Source organism: Homo sapiens, chromosome 2 (assembly GCF_000001405.40).
Source record: "Homo sapiens chromosome 2, GRCh38.p14 Primary Assembly".
NCBI lineage: Eukaryota > Metazoa > Chordata > Mammalia > Primates > Hominidae > Homo > Homo sapiens.
This window is the reverse complement of record NC_000002.12, coordinates 235,493,610-235,512,466: the sequence shown is the minus strand read 5'-3', so window position 1 is coordinate 235,512,466 and position 18,857 is coordinate 235,493,610. Positions and strand designations below refer to the sequence as shown.

Here is an 18,857-nt window from a genome sequence, read left to right as displayed (position 1 = left end):
AGCACCAACACACCTGGGTGTTTTGTTTTTTCGTAGAGATGGGGGTCTCCCTATGTTACCCAGGCTGGTCTTGAACTCCTAGCTTCAAGCAATCCTCCCACTTCGGTCTCCCAAAGTGTTGGGATCACAGGTGTGAGCCAATGCACCTGGCCAATTTTCTTATTCTTATGTCAGCAAAACCAGTGTTTCCCAACCTTGGTATTCTCCCCTGAAAGTTAAAAAACAGATACTCAAAGAAAACTCCCAAACTCCCAAACAAGATGCAGCCATCTGCCCAGCATTCTGCTGATGCAGCAACAGATCAAGAAGTGAGTGACAAGACCACCAATGTGGACAATGACCATCACCACACACACACACATTCACACACACACACATTCACACACGCATTCACATTCACACATACGCATTCACACACACATCCATTCACACACATTCACACCTCACACATTCACACAGTCACACACGCATTCACACACGCATTCACACACTCACAATCACCTTTACACACACATTCACACCCACACATACACATTCACACATTCACACACATCCACATACTCATTCACACTCACATTCACACACATTCACATACACACACACATTCACACACATCCACACTCATACATTCACACACACATTCACACACACTCACACAAATACGCACACTGAATCTCACAAGCATGTTCTATAGGAACAAAATCCACAGTTTGGGGAAATTACATGGGTTTTTCTCCCCACCCTACAAATAGAAGAACTGCCAGGGGAACTCTCTTGAATGCGGAATTGTCAAAAAGATTTATATATAGAAGTTTCCAGGAGATTTTCTCTTGGCCAGAAAACAAGTGAGTAATTTCCCTGGGCCCAGCATAGGTTAATAATCAAAGAAGTTCGTTAGGAACTGCCCTGAGCTCAGGCTGCCAGGCAGTTAGTCATAAAGAGCTAGGTGGAATTTGCCTACTCAGGCAATGGGAGGAGTGAGGGAGAGTCACATCCCCACAGAGAAGCCGGTTTCCTAGAACACTTGAGGGCCAGGAGCTGGCTGAGCCCCCTGCGGCTCCTGGCTGCCCCCCTCCCTGAGGGCCTGGCTCAGACCCCAGGGAACCAGGTGTCCTTGCTCACCGAGAGGGCGGGCCCCTCTGGGCACACAGGTAGACACACCTCTAGATAATTACACCAGCTCCCACCGAAACAGAATCGTGCACCAGAGTAATCCTTGGTGAGTGTGGATCAGAGGCTGAGGGGGTCACAGAGCTCATCTGACCTGGGGCTCTCAGTCTCGGGATGACGAAGACTCAGGGCTGCCCCAGGCATTGCGGGATCTTGGGCAGCATCCCTCACCTCCACCTGCCACGTGCCAGTAACAACCATGACACCCCAAAGTTGTAACAAACCGAAAATTGCCCCAGACATGGCCAAATGTCCTCTTGGGGGCTACAATGCTTGCACGCCATACACCGCCGCCCCCCGCCCCCCCACCCAGCACCTTGTTGAAAACTGATCTTGGCCAAACATCCGGATTTACAGACAGGGAAACTGAGGCCAGAGGTCACAAGGAGAGGCACACTGGCTCTGCTCCCTTGGATTTTGCGACCTTCTAAGGTGGTCTTCAGTCTGCACCTCTTTCTGAGGCTTCTCCTTTCCCTCCTCAGCCTCACTCCTATAGCCTCCCACCCCCCTCATCAGTACAAGACACTTCACAGCCCAAGAGACACAGAGGGCAAATGCTCTTTCTTAAGGACAGCTGCTATCCCATCACTGCCAGAAGCCTGCTGAACTTAAGCCCAAAGTGGACACTCTCACACTGCCGGCGGGAGAGTAAAATCAACCAATTTGGAAAACAGCAGGCAGTTTACATAAAAGTTAATTATATACCCAGCACATCTCCCAGCCACTCCACTCCTAGGTATCTACCCAAGAGAAATGAAAGCACGTGCCCATATGAAGACTTGCACGTGAATGTTCACAGCACCTCTATTTGTAAAAGCCAAGAACTGGAAACAACTCCATCAATATCCATCCACAGGATAAAAACACTGTAGTAAATCCATACAATGGAACATTACTCAGCAATGAAAAAGAAAAAGCTATGGATATATGTAACAACTTGAATGACCCTAAAAATCATCATGCTGACTGAATGAAGCCAGTCAAAGAAGGGGTCCTTTACTGCAGTGGTCCCTAACCTTCTTGGCATCAGGGACCGGTTTCGTGGAAGACAATTTTCCCACTGAAGGGAGGCAGGGGGATGGTTTCATGATGATTCAAATGCATTACATTTATTGTGCACCTTATTTCTATCATTACTGCATTGTAATATATAATGAAAAAAATTCTACAACTCACCATAACGTAGAATCAGTGGGAGCCCTGAGCTTGTTTTCCTGCAACTAGAGGGTCCCAGCTGGGGGGGACAGGAGACAGTGACAGATCATCAGGCATCAGAGTCTCATAAGGAGCGCCAAATCTAGATCCCTCATATGTGCTGTTCACAGCAGGGTTTGTGCGCTTATGAGAATCTAATGCCGCCGCTGATCTGACAGGAAGTGGAGCTCAGGGGGTAACACAAGGCAAAGGGAGTGGCTGTAAATACAGATGAAGCTTCACTTGCTGGCCCGTCACTCACCTCCTGCTGTGTGGCCTGGTTCCTAATAGGCCCAGTACTGGTCCATGGCCCAGAGGCTGGGGACCCCCTTTTTAATGCATGATCTTATTTCTATTTTATTCTGGAAAATGCAAACTAATCCACAGTGACAGACAGCAGATGGGTGCAAGCAGACGGACAGAGGTGATGCAGGTTGCAAACGGGCATGAGGAAGTGTTGGGGTCGGGGAATGGTTGCCTTCCATACCTCAGTTGTAGCTACAGGGGTCAAAACTCATCAAATGGTAAACTTTCAAGAGTTGGAGTTTACTTTATGTAAACCACACCTCTGGCCGGGCGTGGTGGCTCACACCTGTAATCCCAACATTTTGGGAGGCTGAGGAGGGTGGATCACTTGAGGTCAGGAGTTCGAGACCAGCCTGGCCAACATGGTGAAACCGTCTCTACTAAAAATACAAAAATTAGCCGGGCGTGGTTGTGGATGTCTGTAATCCCAGTTACTCAAGAGGCTGAGGAAGGAGAATTGCTTGAACCCAGGAACCTGGGAGGCAGAGGTTACAGTGAGCAGAGATCGCACCACTGCACTCCAGCCTGGGTGACAGAGCCAGACTCCATCTCAAGTTTAAAAAACAACAACAACAGAAAAAACACTTCTCTAAACAGATAGACAAAAATCAAGTAAGTGTAGAAAAAGCATTCCAACTATAAAACCCACCATTAATTTTCACGGTAACTATAAGTAATCGTTCACATCACATGAGTTCACACCACCCTCTAGGTAAATCTGGTTCAAGCAGGTGAGGGTGGCTGCAGGTGAGCACACACCCCACACGGCTAGGATGCCAGTGAGTGGGAAGCAGATAGCGCAGCCACCACCACGCCCCCGACTAAAGTGGTGGAGTTTGGCGACACACTCGGCATCCCGCCCGTGCACTGGATTCTGCCACTTCCGGCTCTGCCACCTTCCTCTGTGTAACCCTGGGCAAATCGCTTTGATGCACAGAGCATCCCTTTCTCCCTCTTTTGCTAATTACAGCACAGGGGGAAAGTAACTTCTATTTACATGTATAAAAAGTTAACTGCCCACTAACATCTCCATTATTAAAATGTCACAGAATTTGTGTGGCTTAAATGTAAGCTGTATTTTCAGCTAGCCAGGATTAAAGGTGCTGCAGATTTCCTAAACGCAGGTGAATTTTCAAAGGCATGCCGTTTGGAAATCCTCCCTCCTCCCGGACTTCGGGACCTGTAATCGCAGGCAGTCAGCTTGCCTCCGTGCCTCCTCCTCATGTAATCAAAACCGTCAGTCAGCATCCCAGCCGCCACCAACTCTCAGCGAGGGAATAAAAGTGAACCAACAGCTGTTATTTTCTTTATAACCTTGATGAGTAAAAAACCGAGCGTGAATGTGAGTTTCAAATCACAAACCGAGATCTGCAGGAGAGCTGCGAACTGCGGAGAGAATTCCCCAAGTACTTCTGCAGACTTATGGGCTGATTTCTGAAGTTTCCTTTTCTACTTTACTAAAACATCAAAACTGTAGGTGGCATTACTTGGTACACACCTGAAGGAATATAATTGTTCTATTGTGTCTATATAAAGACACACGCAGTTAGTTGTGTGTTCACTGTGGCACTATTCACAATAGCAAAGACATGGAATCAACCAAAATGCCCATCGATGGGCTGAATAAAGAAAATGTGGTACATGTACACTGTGGAGTACTATGCAGCCATAATAAAAAGAATGAGATCACGCCCTGTGCAGCAAAATGGATGGAGCTGGAGGCCAATATCATAAGCGAACCAGCGGAGGAACAGAAAACCAAATATCTCATGGTCTCACTTGAGCTCAACATTGACACAAAGAATGGAACAACGGCCACCAAGGCCTGCTTGAGGGTGGAGGGTGGGAGGGAAAGGACTGAAAAACTACCTATCAGGTACTGTACTTACTATGCGTTGTAATAATCTGTACACCAGACCACCATGACACCCAACTTACCTATATAACACACCTGCATGTGTACCCCTGAAACTAAAAGTTTTTAAAAATATAAAAATAAAGGCCCATAGGTGGCTGGTGTCCACGGGTCCCGAGTTCGAATCCTGACTCTGCCACCTTCAGAAGTGGGTGGATTCAGGCAAGGCTTTAAACTCTCCAGGCTGCAGGCTCCTGACCTGACAAATGAGGGTCCTACCACCTCTGTCTGGCAGTGACCAGGATAACAAAATGACACAAAGGGCACCCAGCCCTGAACACGGCGTCCTGCAGAGACAAACACTCAAGCGGCAGGTGCTATTACGGATTTTATTCAGTGAGGGGAAGGGAAGAAACCAGGAGGATGGTTCAGGAAATGTTCCATAGAAATTTCTGGAATCTGGAGCAGGAGCAGCTGTCAGAGATGCCTGCAGGCAACGGTGTCACTTACAAGGCAAAACCGCACCGGCTGCTGCTGCAGAGCTGTGCCCCAGTCCAGCGGGACGCCCCCGACTCCTCCACCAGCGCTCCCCCGCCATCACCATCCAGACTCTTGCTAGCTTCTCACTTATCCTCCTCACTGTTTACATCTTCTCATCCTAAACACGGATTCATAACTAACGTCTTCATAAAACCACAGGGGACAGGGTGACAGAGACAAAAACTCCTTAGTCAGTCGGCACGCAGGACACTCGGCAACTGTCCATCTATCGATGACAAGACAGATTCTGGGCAGCTGCTCCATTCAGGGCTGTGCAGGTACTGATGCTCAGCATTAAAGAGACGACTCACGACTACAGAGCAGTCACCCAGAGAAACGGCAGGAGGTCCTAAGTCAGGGTCGCCCCAGCGCGAGGTAACCAGCTGCCCACGAGCTCCAGGGAGAAAGACTCAGCAAGCGGCCACTCCAGCTCCCTCCAAGCTCAAGTCCTGTGAGAGACGATAATGTACACAAGACTGGAAGAAAAAGTCACCAAAACAAACCTTGCCCATACCCTGTGGGCAGACGGCTGAGGTGTCTATGCCACCTGCTCTGCCATTCACTTCCCGAGGCCCCGCCCTCATTCTCTCCCAGCTTTGCAAACCGTCAGCACAGGAAAGAGGATGAACATGGATGTGAGTGAGGAAAACAAGAGTGTGTGCTTAGCTTTCGTGTGTGGCTTTGCATCTCACTGGCCCTGCCCATACAGACCCGGCTTCCGGTGGCTCCTAACCAAGAATGTTCCCAGTGGCATCCTATTTTCAAAACAAGAAACTCTTGGACAAATAAATTCAAGTTTCTATGTAAAATTCTGAATTTTATGTCCAGAAAACCCCCCAAAAGACAATATCATAGTCATCACAGTTCAATTTTTTTTTTTTTTGAGACAAGATCTCACTCTGGCACCCAGGGTGGAGCGCAGTGATGCAATCATAGCTCACTGCAGCCTGCAACTCCTTGGCTCAAGTGATCCTCCTGCCTCAGCCACTCAAGTAGCTAGGACTAAAGGCACTTGCCACTGTGCCTAGGCTGGTCTCAAACTCCTGGCCTCAAGCAATCCTCCCACTTCGGCCTCCCGAAGCGCTGAGATTACAAGCATTAGCCACCGCACCTGGCTTCAAATTTTTTAAAATATTGAAACCCGAGCTAAATAAATAAATAAATAAAACAGGGCCGGGCACAGTGGCTCATGCCTGTAATCCCAGCACTTTGGGAGGCCAAGGCGGGTAGATCACCTGAGGTCAGGAGTTTGAGACCGGCCTGGCCAACGTGGTGAAACCCTATCTCTACTAAAAACATAAAAATTAGTTGGGTGTGGTGGTGCATGCCTGTAGTCCCCGCTACTCAGGAGGCTGAGGCAGGCGAATCACTTGAACCTGGGAGGCAAAGGCTGCAGTGAGCTGAGATCACACCACTGCACTCCAGCCTGGGCGACAGAGCAAGATTCCGTCTTAAAAAAAAAAAAAAAAAAAGAAAAGAATTTTAAAAAAAGCACTCCCCTCTCCAAGCAGGATCCATAATCAGTAGTAGACCGTCCAACAAAAGGTCTCCCAGCCTGCTCTCGGGGGCTGTCAAGGATCACTTATCATTCGGCCGCCTACCCCGCTCTTCCCAGGCTGAAGTGACTCTGTTCTGGATGCTCCAATCCTAGTACCCACTAGCCTGGAAAGCCCTCCTGACTGCTACCTGGCTTCCAGGATCTCTCCCTGGACTCCGCCCCATCTCCCAGGCCCCTCCCACACAGCCTTGTGTGGCTGCGATCTCTACCTGTATCAGTGGCTCCTGGGGGAGATCTGAAGGGCCCTGAGTGTCCCACACATCTGCCTGTTCTCCCAGCTTCAAAAACTGCGCTCTGCCCAGTGCAGAGGCTTGATAAAATCTTGTCTATTGATTCTCACATTAGCCACTTCCCCTACTAAACAAAGTGAGTATAAACTTGGTCCTCCCACCACCATCCCTCAAAATAAATATTTGCCATTGCAAAGCCACCAGAGAAATCCACACACGCACACACTGCCCTCACTCAATCCATGGCCCCGCGTGTCCTTCCTGGCTCTGGCCTTGTTTAGCACTGGCCTTTGTGGAGGGGGATGGGCAGCTCCCAGGACACAGCGCTGGAACAAAGAAAATTACTCCTTGAGTTGGCAACACTTAGCTTTTTTTCTTCTTTTGTGTCTTCAGCATAATTGCTACAAACAACAAAAACTGAATAATGCTAATACGTAACTATGAAGGCCATAACACAGTTTAGGCCAAACATACAGAGTGAATTCCCTTTCAAAGACCAACACAGATCCAGTGGGTTATCTAAAACCCAGCACAGGGATGGATTGAGGCTGCTTGGGGCTCAGCCAGAAAGAGTCCCCCAGTTGACAACTGACTTCTGCCAGGAGCCAAGGAGAGCCAAAGGGGCCCCTGTTCCAGTCCCAGAGGAACTGCGCCCTCTTCCTGGTGAGGGATTTCGCTCACACAGCTCCATGCACACAGCCGTCATTATTCAACTAACAAGGAATTAATAGCCTGCAGACAATCCAAAAGTTTAAAAACCTAATCTCTAAGTGCTGGAAATGCATTAGCCATGCAAACATTTGTTTATGAACAAACAACTGAAAGAATGAAAATCAGCAAAAGGAGACAAACGGCCATCCTGAGTGTCATAAAATGAACCTTGAAAGCACTGAAAGGTTTCCCAGATAGGGGCTGCTGGGCTGCAGGAGCGGCTTCACGAGCAGCTACGTCCAACCCACAGAGAGAAAGACACAGCCCAGCACACACCCGACAGAAATGAGGCCATATGGGCACCAAAAGGCAAGTGAGAATCTGCACAGTGGTGCTATTCATGACAGCCCCAAAACAGGCAGCCACTCAAACACTGACAGCCCCCGAAACAGGCAGCCACTCAAACACTGACAGCCCCCGAAACAGGCAACCACTCACACACTGACAGCCCCCGAAACAGGCAGCCACTCAAACACTGACAGCCCCCGAAACAGGCAGCCACTCAAACACTGACAGCCCCCGAAACAGGCAGCCACTCAAACACTGACAGCCCCCGAAACAGGCAACCACTCAAGCACATATCACAGGCAGAAGAGACCAATAAATGGGGGCTACAATTTCTAACGACCCTCACGACAGATGAGTCTGTGCTGGCCACTGAACTGGATGCTGGTCCCACATGTGATCAGTTTGTGAAAACTTTCTCCTTTATGACTTGGGCACCTTTCTCTGTTATGTGTCAAAAAAAAAAGAGAGTTCGAGGCTGGGCGTGGTGGCTCAAGCCTGTAAACCTAAGACTTAGGGAGGCCAAGGCAACATAGCGAGACCCCATCTCTACAAAAAAAATTAAAAAATTAGTCGGGCATGGTGGTGCGTGCCTGTGGTCCCAGCTATTTGGGAGGCCAAGGCAGGAGGATCGCTTCAGGAAAGCAAGGCTTCAGTGAGCCACGATCGTGCCACTGTACTTCAGCCTGATTGACAGAGACTGTCTCAAAAATTAAAAACTAGGCCAGGCACAGTGGCTCATGCCTGTAATCCCAGCACTCTGGGAGGCTGAGGCAGGTGGATTGCTTGAGTCCAGAATGTCAAGACCAGCCCAGGCAACATGGTGAAACCCCGTCTCTACTGAAAATCCAATGAATTAGCCAGGCATGGTGCACATCTGGAGTCCCAGCTACTTGGCGGGGGCTGAGGTGGGAGGATTACTTGAGTCTGGGAGGTTGAGGCTACAAATGAGCCCCAATAGTGCCACTGCACTTCAGCCTAAGCAACAGAGTGAGACCCTGTCTCAAAAAATAAATAAATAAATACTAACAAGTTCCAAGAAATAAAAGAGTTTGAAGTGGTCTCAATCCCACCAATTCCAAACCCAAACTTCAAGTACTACATGGACACTCAGAGACCCAGGCTTGATTGTTGAAGCTAAAATTAACACAATGCTGTTCCCCGCCAATCACACCATCCCCTCCCAAATCAGGTTCACCAGGCTGAACTTCCAGCAGGAGCAGTCTCGTCAGAACAGGAGCAGATACGCGATCCCGGCTCACAGCAGCACCCCAGACCTTCGAAAACAACAACAAAGGGGGTGCAGACAGGCTTCCGGAAACGCCCTCCCTGGAAAATATGCTGGATTCTCCCCCACTGAAAAGGGCAGCTCAACGCACAAACAGGATGGAAATTCAGGGCAATCAGCTCTTTCCAAATCAATTTCTTTTTCATTACATAAGCTAGCCAGCACTTCCGACAATACCAATCCTGCTGAAGGGTACCATCACACAGTGGGCATGCCCCCAAGGTGACATTTAAGAAGTGAAAACTCTTTCCTGAAAAAAGGGTAGGTCTTGTGGCTATTTGTTGCAGGTGTTCATAAATTTTTTAAAAAATGTTTAACTTCTTTCTTTCAAGTATCCTCCATACTACAAGTCACTATTGGCTAAAACTAAAACTTATTGAATTGAAGCTAAATGTACTTTCTAAAGGTACGGTTCTGCCTTTCAGACTATTATCTGAGTGAGAACAGGGTAACAGTAGCTTCGTCCTAAGCTGGAAATCAACATGGTTGTATTTACTAGAGCCTGTTGAATGCTGACATTTCTCCAAGACCAAACATAAATCATTTGTGAACATGGACATTATTTGAAATTCTTCTCCCAGAACCATGAAAAGTGTTTTCCCACCCTTAAAAAAAAAAAAAAAAAAAAAGGCAAATAAAAAGCTTCTAACCATGATGCTAATGACAACCAGACGGCATGAGCAGTTTTAAAGATTAGACAGTTGCTTGTGTAGAAACACTGTACAAATACTCCAACACTGCAGCCCAAAAAAAGACAATCCCCATCAAACAGCGGGAGAAGTGTGAAATTTGCAAATGAGCCCCTGGTTAAACAAAAACACCAATCTGTTCCCAGAGAGCTCAGGGTGGCCACCTGTTTGGGACTGGTGGCAAGTTCTGGTTACCAATGGAAGAAACAATACTGGAGCAAGCAGTGGCAGCCCCCTCTCGGGCCCTGGTCCCCACCCTCGAGCCTATATTTAGTCTGCTCTTTACGGAAAATGTCCCAACCTCGCACACAAACAAGCTATCTGGCTGGTTACTCAAAGAATCCATTAACGATCTCTTCTGCAGGGGGTGGTATTTGTTTTCCTTCCCTCCCCAGGCCCCAGACACAAGCACGATACCCACTTCTGGCCATGGTCTCTTGTGACCAGAAAAGCCCTGGAAGATAGAGGGACTGGACCCCACGGACAATACCAACCCTGCCTCTGATGGGTCATCACTGCATCTTGGGAAAGACAGCCCACACTATGAAAAGGGACCCCCAAATCCCCCTCAGCCCCTCAGAAGCACAGAGCTTCCAGAAGGCCAGGGCTCACCGCAGCACACACAAAGCACTTGTACCCCTGAATAAAAATAACAGATGCTGCAAAGATTAGAGATTAACATCTGTAGAGTGCATTTTGTTTCTCGGAGAAAGGTACTTAACAAAGGGAAGGAATTATGTAGCTAAGCACCAGATCAGAACCTCAAACCCTGGATTTTAAAAATAGCTAAGCCTCATCCGCTTTGCCAGACTCAATCACTTAAGCTAAGGACGTGAAGGCTGGAGGATTGGGATGGGGGCGGGGAGGGGGACACAGGTTTGCTAGAGTGTAGAGAAACATAAGACGAAACGAAATCAGTGGTTAAAACAAGCCAGAGTGAGACTCACAAACTATAAACACCTGCAGGGTATACAGGGGGAAAAACGGATGCAAAATAAGGGATTTTCGTCTTAACAAAATAAAACGCCTGGTTTAGGCAAAAAACAAGAGGTGGTAGCAACAGGGCTGCAGGTTTTGTTTTGAAGGTTCCTGCAGCTGCCCCCACTGCTTCTCTCCCTTATGAGTCACTTCCTTCAGGCTCCTCCAACAGCTCTTTTAAGCTACTAGTAACATCTAGCTCCTGTCTTTTACAGAAACGCGCTTTCAGCTTGGAAATATTGGTAACAAAATGTGTCATCTGCCAAATTATCATATAATAAGTGAATACTGAAGAACCCAATCTAAATATACATAAGACTACATTAAAAAGCAACAATCTCCGAAAGACAAGAAGGAAAATCCGCAAAACCACAGAATGAGTCTAGAAGGAAATGGACATCAGCTGCCTCTACCTCCTAACCAGATTCTCTTGGCAATGTCCATCCGACATGCCACCGTGTCGCAGAAACGCAGCCCACTGACAGATGCCCCTGACAGCAATAACTGAGAATGGCCCCACATGGCAGGTGCACCTGAATGTATGTTCGGGGTTCTGAGCTAAGGAATCCGGGAGTGGCCAACCCAGAGATTCATTCCTTATCTATGAGGAACATCTAAACCCCCAGCCTGTCCCATGGAAAGCAGGCCATACAGGGTATTGAGGCTCTTTGATTGGTGTTAAGGTTGCTGGGTGGTGGTTGTTTGGGGGAGGGTGTTAAGCGAAAATGCTATATAAACTGCACGCTTTCTGAAAGCAAGCAGCAGCGCTTCTCCTGCCCAGGCCGCCATGGGACCACTCTGTAAATAAATTCCCCTAATAAACCCTCTGTCTTTTGTTTGCTGGCTCTAGGTCTCCTCTCCAGTCTCTTGAACCCGGTGCCATCCCTAATGAAATTTAAAGGGGTCTGGCACGACAGGCCCCTCACCCAGCATTCAGCTGCTTTTCAAACAGCATCATGAAGATCACATGAACACCAGCTTGAAACCATTCAGATCTGGTTTAAGTCCCTCGTCCACCACACTTAGCCTGCGTGACCACAAGCAACTCCCTGAGCAGCTGGCCTTAGGTGTCTTCACCTGAAACCTGCAGGGCAGGCTGATAGGAAACCTTCTCAGCTGGCTACAAGCACAGCAAGGAAGAAGAAACAACGGCCCAGAGATGATACCAAGTCAACTGGAGCTGCCTTTCCTTTACAGCTATGCTTCCAGAAGTGCGGTCCCTGGACCAGGGCATCCGCATCCTCAGGACACTTCTTAGAGAGGCACATTCGTGCGTCCTGCTCCAAACCCACAGAACTAGAAACTCGGGAGGTATGGGAGGGGCCGGCAATCTGTTTCCATCAGCCCTCAATGTGACCTGACACACACTCACGTTTGCTCTCGGTGTGACGCCAAAGATACTATATCATGGCAGTGACACAGGCTGTCACCCATTTGTCCTCTTAATATTGATTCTATGTCTGAAATTCACTTACACCCAACATAAACACCAACCTGTTGTAGACAGCTGATCTGAAAAAGCTGCCAAGATTTAGCAAGCAAATCTTTTGCTTCCCCTACCTACAGTAAAGAAAATTTCACTTCCATCCCAAACACCACATGACACTGAGTTCCCACCAAGCCAGCCCACCAAATCCAAAAGGTGTCTAACCCTAACTTCTGTGCTCTGGGGACGTTTCAAATTGTCCTCACTTCTGCAGCGTATAAACATTGTTTATCCTACCAAGAAGGAGCTTTGGAAAGGACCCTCTGGCAAGTCAGCCAGCCAACAAACCCCTGGGCATCCTTCAAGGGCCAGACGTGATCTATCAAACCACTGAGGATACAGCAATAAACAAGCCCTGATTTCTGCCCTCAACCAGCTTCCAGACCTCCCAGCTGATTAAGTAGATGAGCCAAACACGGTGGGCAGAGACCAGGAGGGCCTTAATTCTGGCGAGGCAAGGCTGGTCATGAGTGACACCAACAGAGACCGAGCCTCGCAGGGTGAGCAACAGGCAGAGAAGGCGGCATCTCAAAGAGCACCTGCACCACAACTGAGAAGCATGAGTAAGCTGGACTCACAAGGAACGCCCGCATTGTGGAGGTCCCGGGTGCCGGCAAGGTACGAGAGCTCACCTGGAAGCAACTAAAAGCCAACTGAGTGTTATTTTTAAGGAGGGGACTGCAAACCTGCCACCTTTCATTCAACTTGAAGGATTATGAACATGGCCAATGGTGACAAAGAAACATGACACTTATCCACAGCAGGAAGAAAATGTTTGTTTCCCTAAACATGCACACCTGCATCAACCGGACTAAATACATTTCCACATGAAAACAAATGCTTCTGGAAGTTTTGCCACAGTCAGCTGCTTTACAGAGAACAGAATACTTTAGGTTCTTTGGGGCCTTCTCAAACCCTCTTGCCTTGGGTGGCGGAAACAAGCTTGGGATGCTTTGCACACACGGCCTATGGGAAGTATGAATAACAGGGGCTCCGCAATCTCACACGGCGACAGAGGGCCAGAGGTGAGGTCGGACGGGCCCAGCTCACCGCTCTCGCACAAGTGTCCTAAGCTTTCTGGCCTCAGCAGTGCGTCTGTGTACAAGATCGCTGCAGGACGAACTGAGATGATGCACCTCAGACACTCCGCACTCTGTGGGACACACATGCTCAACAGAGCAGCTGTATCATGGGACAAAGTGGGGAACCCTGACCCATCTTCCCAGGTCCCCCAAACACTGGGGCTGAGATACTACTAAGGGGTCCTGGAATCTCCCTGTGGAAATGCCCTTAAGAAGTGCAGGGCAGGGTTCTCCTGCCAAGTGCCAGGCCAGTGGAGAGCCTGGGTTTCCTCTCATCGGCCACCTGGTGGGGATGGAGGCTTGTGGGCTGGATGAGGGCTCAACCTCAGAGGAAGGCCAACCTTCCCGGCGATGCGTGGGAACCTGGGAATCGGGCCGCCTGGCTGAATGAGCTGGCTGGGCTATCACTCACATCACGGTCCTGCTGCTGGCAAGCTGAATTACGATGTGTGACTGCTAAGAGAGGCTTTATCCTTGAAAGAAGAACAAGCTTTATTGAACAAGAAAGGCAGTTAATTCATCTACCTCAATGCCATCAACCCCCGATGGACTTTTCTAAGGAGAACCAGAGGGGAAACTAACACACGCTGTTCAGACTGGAGGCGAGATGGCTCTCAGGCTCATTTCTGGGCATGGTGGCTGCGGAGGCTCCAGAGACGACACAGCTGTGTGGCTACATTTCACAGCATGCCATGCCCCATAGGACATCCCAGAAACCTGATCAGATAAATCTGGAACAATCAGCAATGCTTCCTTAAACTCTAGTGATTTGGGGGTGAAGGGAGGGGGGAATAAACCTCTCAATGTACAAAACAAAAATTGGGGGAAAAAAACTGTTCTCTTCTGACAAGCTAGTGTTTTAAAACAAGACTGAGGGCAAAATCACCTGTATCCCATGCCTACAAACAGGATTACGGATGTGTTTTTATTTGGGAGCCTTGGTGGGCCTTTCAACTAAAATATGTTTAGTCCATCGTTAAGAGATTTTACAACCCAGACCCACCTCCACGCGCTCTGAAATAAGCATTAGCCAAAACATCCTTCCCCTGGACAAGGCTGCACCTCACTCCAACAGCAAAAATTCCTGAAGATGCCAGAAAACAGTGAAGTTTTGAGTAGGGTGCAGCCAAATGTGGGAATTTTGTGCCAACAAGAGAAACCCTATCTTCAAAAGCTCTTCATAACGTTAAGAAGTGCCCGGCCGGGCACGGTGGCTCACACCTGTAATCCCAGCACTTTGGGAGGCCAAGGTGGGTGGATCACGAGGTTAGGAGACGGAGACCATACCGGCTAACACAATGAAACCCCGTCTCTACTAAAAAAACAGAAAAAATTAGCCAGGCGAGGTGGTGGGCGCCTGTAGTCCCAGCTACTCGGGAGGCTGAGGCAGGAGAATGGCGTGAACCCGGGGCGGAGCCTGCAGTGAGCCGAGATTGCGCCGCTGCACTCCAGCCTGGGCGACAGAGCGAGACTCCGTCTCAAAACAAAAAAAGAAGTGCCCACATCACGGTAGTCCAGAAGCTTGGGAAGTCAGACCCCAATTCTGTGTATGCACATACAGAGGAAGGGGAAAAAATCCCTAGCTGGAAATCTTCTAAAATGTGGCCAGCTTTCTATTTGGTGGGACAAGTGACTTTTTGAGCCATTTGTTATGATGTGCACCTGCTGTCCTGATTGGAAACAGTTAGACTTTAAAACCTCCAAGGTGCACGCACAGGCAGGGGCAGCTCTCTGCCCCTGCAGGGAGCCCTCTGCAGTTACTGTGATGTTCCAGCGCAGGCTTAGTTGCCAGCACTGGGTTCCTGCCATCCACATGCAGTGTGGAGACAGAAACTCCATTCAAATGATCCCTTGGTTCAGATCAGACTTCAAACCACCTCAGTCAAATGTTAAGGAGGTCATTATCCCTCCCTGAACCTCCACCCGCTCCTCCATAAAATGAGGATGAGGAAGCTACCCACCCACCCTCACAGGGTTGGTGAAGCCACACAATGAGACTATACATGCAAAAATATTTCTGTTAAAGTTCTACAGAAATGAAAAGTGGTATCATTATTGATAACAGAAGAACATGCAAAGAACAGCAGCATGTCTGAGTGGTTCTTAAGCCTCACTAAATTAACTACAGCTCCACATAATGTAGACATCCCTATTTCTAAGAGAAAAATAACAGCATCACCCCAGTCCCAAACAGGATTCACCCAATGATTCTAAGCCTTATTAAAAATGACAAGGATCCCGGCCAAGAAGGGGCCTAAAATCTCAAATCGCAAAGGTAGGCATCGTGCTGTCAAAAAAAACCATCATCTAGGAACGACGCATTTTTTTTTTCTTTTAAGGGAGAAAGGAAAATGCAACCACATCCTCTTGCTAGAAAGTCAAACTGCTTTGCTGGAAGTGCTTGAGCCCCAGAGCTCAGCTTCAAGAATGGGAAATAAAAACGAGGTGTTGTGAACCCCACTCAGCCAGAGGTCTTCATGCAGCAAAAGAGGCTCTCAGCCAGGTGCCTTCAATACCTGACGCCGGCTTTCACAGTGTTTCATCAGACTTCTGTGGATGCAGCCAGAGAGCCAGGAAGAACCATCTGAAATGAGCACCGTGCAGCCTTCACAGCTCCCGTAACAGACGCAGAGCTGGAGCTCTGGAGGAACCTTGCTGCAACACCACCTGATCATCAGCAGATGGGTCCAGGTCCCACCGCCACTCATCACGAGTCATGCAGAGGCAGACAGAGCCCATCTCTTGAGGAATCCACAGAGCATCTTAAGTCACCAACAAGGCAGCCAGGTGACCTCATGGGAGACAGATACACACAAAGGGCTAGGACCCCATAAGGCTGGAGCTCCACCCGGATCCTCCCCTGGAATTAACAAGTCCCCCAAGGGTATAGTCTGCCAGTCATCCAGCCTGGCTGGGACATGGTTCAAGTCTACAGGGCTGCCAAATGCCAAGGGCTCAGCAACACAACATCCACTTTCTCCACCTAACTGGCCAAGTTTCAAACCAAAGCACTTCGGGGTTAGTAGTTCAGACTACATAGTGCCAAGGCAAAGCCTCTCTGTGGGCTGATACCCTCTCCCTCACAGAGGGAGGAGGCTGGGCAACGCCAGCACCAGGCTTTCAGGCACATTCCTGCCGGCTTTGGGCCATTCTCAATGTTCCTCAATAGAGGTCTTACCGGCCAGTCTGTATTATGGACAAGCCACTCTGCAGGCTTTTTACCATCACTGGCCAACAGCGCTGAGAAGGGAGAAAGTGCTGATCAACTGTGGCTAAGATATGACTCCACACTGTCCACGCACATGCCACCTGGTGCCCCAGGTGAGTCTTGGCCGGACCAAAGGGATGAAGCAAGAAAATAAATCAGCAGCCTGGAAACAGAGAAATGAGAGCCACCAGAAATCCAGAGGGCACAGCCCCGGAAGGCAGACTGCTGCTGTAGCTCTCCTGGAAGGCCATGGCCCTGCCTGACATGCAGAGGGAAGCGGGTGGGGATTCTGCCCAAGCATCCTGCCCCTCTTAAAACCACAGCACCCTCCACTTCAGTGGCCTCCAACTGCAGACATATGAAAGCGAGACCCTTCCGCTGGAGGACGCCCTGCCCTCCTGGTAGGGTTCTTCCTCTAATCCAACCCCGGACTTTTGGTTGGTACAAAGCACACTACCGGTTCCAGCGTTTGCACAGGGGCACCTGGACACGATGCTCCCGCGGCTAGGGCTGGCTCTCGGCATCCACTAAGTTCAACTGCACCCCTGAATTAAGCAAACACACTAAGGAGGGCAGCCCTGCACCGCCCAAACACGCCGGCCCGGGCCTCGCCCCCAGCGGCAGCACTTCTCAGAACACGTCTTCAACGTCCAGCAAGACGCCCAGGCCTGGCCTGGTAACCTGTCAGGGGTCGGGTGGCGCCGACCCCGCCGGCTGCCCCCAGGCGTCTGCTGGGCCGGGACGCTCCGGCAGCCCAGGACGCGGAGGCACCGAGCCACTTTCCCGCAGGAGAGACTCTATTGTCCACGATCAAATTAACGCTGACGATCTATCTTCCTGGCGGAGCTCGCGGCGCGGCGGGGCGCAGGCGACGCTCGCCCGGCCTTGCAAGACAAGCAGCGCCGCAGTGCTCCCTCGGCGGAGCAGCCGCGTGCCCCGGCCGGCGTGTGTGGACACCCGCACGCACACAGCGCACACCCCCGCCGCGCCGCGGGCGTCCGTGCCTTCCCGAGGCCCCAAGGCGGCCCGGCCCTCACCTTCGATGGCGATGACGTGCTCCCGGATCTGGTTCTGCAGCACCGGCTCCTCCACGCGCTCCAGCAGCTCGTAGATGGAGTAGATGTTGGGGTGGACCGACTCGAAGCGCTGGATCTCGGCCCGGATGGCAGCCGAGTTGGCCAGCTGCTGCTGGTAGTTCATGGTGCAGGCGCCGCGCCCGGAGCCGCGCGCCCCCCGCCGCCGCCGCCCCGCGCCCCGGGGCCCGCGGGCCGCCGAGCCCGGGGCGCCGCAGCCCCCGGGGAGCCGGGCCCGCCGGCGGCGGGCGGAGGAGGCGCGAGAAGAAAGGCGCGGGCGGAGCAGGCGCGGGGCTGGCCCGCGGGCTCAGTTCATGGCCGGGACGCGCGGCCGGCGAGCGAGCGGGCCCCGGCGTCCCGGGTCAGCGGGCCGCCCGGGGGGAGCGCGCCCCCATGGAGCGCGCCGCGGCGGGTGCGGCCGGCCCCGAAGGAGGCTTGCTCGGGTGACTTCCTGAGCCGCAGCCGCCTTCCAGCCCTAGGCGCTGCTCCGCGGAGCAGCCATTAAAGCCCAGGCAGCCGCCGCGCTCCGAGCGCCGGGGCCGAGGGCCGACCCCTGGGCAGTGTGGCCGCGCTGCTCTGGGCTCCTGGCCGTGGCGTGGGTCCGCGCGCTGCGTACTGCGCCGCCCGGCGCGCCGGGGCCCCCGCGCGAGCCCGCCGTGCGCCGCCCGCCGACCTGGGACCGAGTCGCAGGCGCCTTGCAAGCCGCGGAGCCCGCTCCGAGCGCCGCCCGCCGCCTGCCCGGCCGGCCCCCTCCCTGGCACGCAGGGCTCCGGCCCACGTCGGCCCCGCCCCCGCCTTCGCCCTCGCCCGCGCCCGCGCCCGCGCCCCGCCTGCCCGCGCGCTTGCCGCCCTCCGGCCGCCGGCGCTGCGTCCTCCTCGGCGCTTCCCAGCGCGCCGGATCCCGGGGAATTGCGCCAGGCCCCGCCCCGCGCCTGCCTCTGGGCTTCCTGGGACTTGTAGTCCGCGCCCCCGGCGGGCCGGGCCAGGGGGGTGCGCGGGGTGTTCACACTGGGCCGGGGTGCGGGACCCTCCCGCCGGCCAGGCCCCGCGCCTGCCAGCTCCTGCCCGGGTTCTCGCGGCGGCCCCCGCGCCCCGGCACGGGGGAGGCTGCCCGGGAGTTCGCCCGCCGCGTTGTTGTTTGTTTCCAAGCGGCTGGCTCCAGGAGCCTCTGCGACTCGCCAGTGTCCCACGGCCTCGCTTGGTT

General features: G+C 51.6%; 1 protein-coding gene and 1 long non-coding RNA gene across 4 annotated transcripts in view, besides 3 other annotated features; both read right to left on the bottom strand.

Annotated features, from left to right (window-relative positions):
- The window catches only part of AGAP1 (ArfGAP with GTPase domain, ankyrin repeat and PH domain 1), a 637,751-nt gene extending 619,327 nt beyond the window's left edge, over positions 1-18,424 (bottom strand). For all 3 annotated transcript variants that reach the window (NM_001037131.3, NM_014914.5, NM_001244888.2), the window contains exon 1: positions 17,618-18,424. In NM_001037131.3, coding sequence (NP_001032208.1) covers positions 17,618-17,780 — 163 coding nt within the window. In that variant the 5' untranslated portion in view covers positions 17,781-18,424. The remainder of the gene's footprint in view (positions 1-17,617) is intronic.
- AGAP1-IT1 (AGAP1 intronic transcript 1) lies at positions 4,901-6,716 on the bottom strand. The gene is made up of 2 exons (NR_131900.1): positions 6,667-6,716; positions 4,901-5,514 (listed from the first exon to the last, which is right to left on the bottom strand). It is a non-coding gene; the product is annotated as an AGAP1 intronic transcript 1 (long non-coding RNA).
- Positions 6,918-7,424: an enhancer, noted in NCBI's record as "H3K27ac-H3K4me1 hESC enhancer chr2:236413687-236414193 (GRCh37/hg19 assembly coordinates)". NCBI's record gives its function as "activates a minimal SCP1, AML or CMV promoter by ChIP-STARR-seq in primed H9 embryonic stem cells {active_cell/tissue: H9 hESC(primed)}" and the evidence as "EXISTENCE:reporter gene assay evidence [ECO:0000049][PMID:30033119]".
- Positions 11,396-12,001: an enhancer, noted in NCBI's record as "H3K27ac-H3K4me1 hESC enhancer chr2:236409110-236409715 (GRCh37/hg19 assembly coordinates)". NCBI's record gives its function as "activates a minimal SCP1, AML or CMV promoter by ChIP-STARR-seq in naive H9 embryonic stem cells {active_cell/tissue: H9 hESC(naive)}" and the evidence as "EXISTENCE:reporter gene assay evidence [ECO:0000049][PMID:30033119]".
- Positions 16,297-17,170: an enhancer, noted in NCBI's record as "H3K27ac-H3K4me1 hESC enhancer chr2:236403941-236404814 (GRCh37/hg19 assembly coordinates)". NCBI's record gives its function as "activates a minimal SCP1, AML or CMV promoter by ChIP-STARR-seq in naive H9 embryonic stem cells {active_cell/tissue: H9 hESC(naive)}" and the evidence as "EXISTENCE:reporter gene assay evidence [ECO:0000049][PMID:30033119]".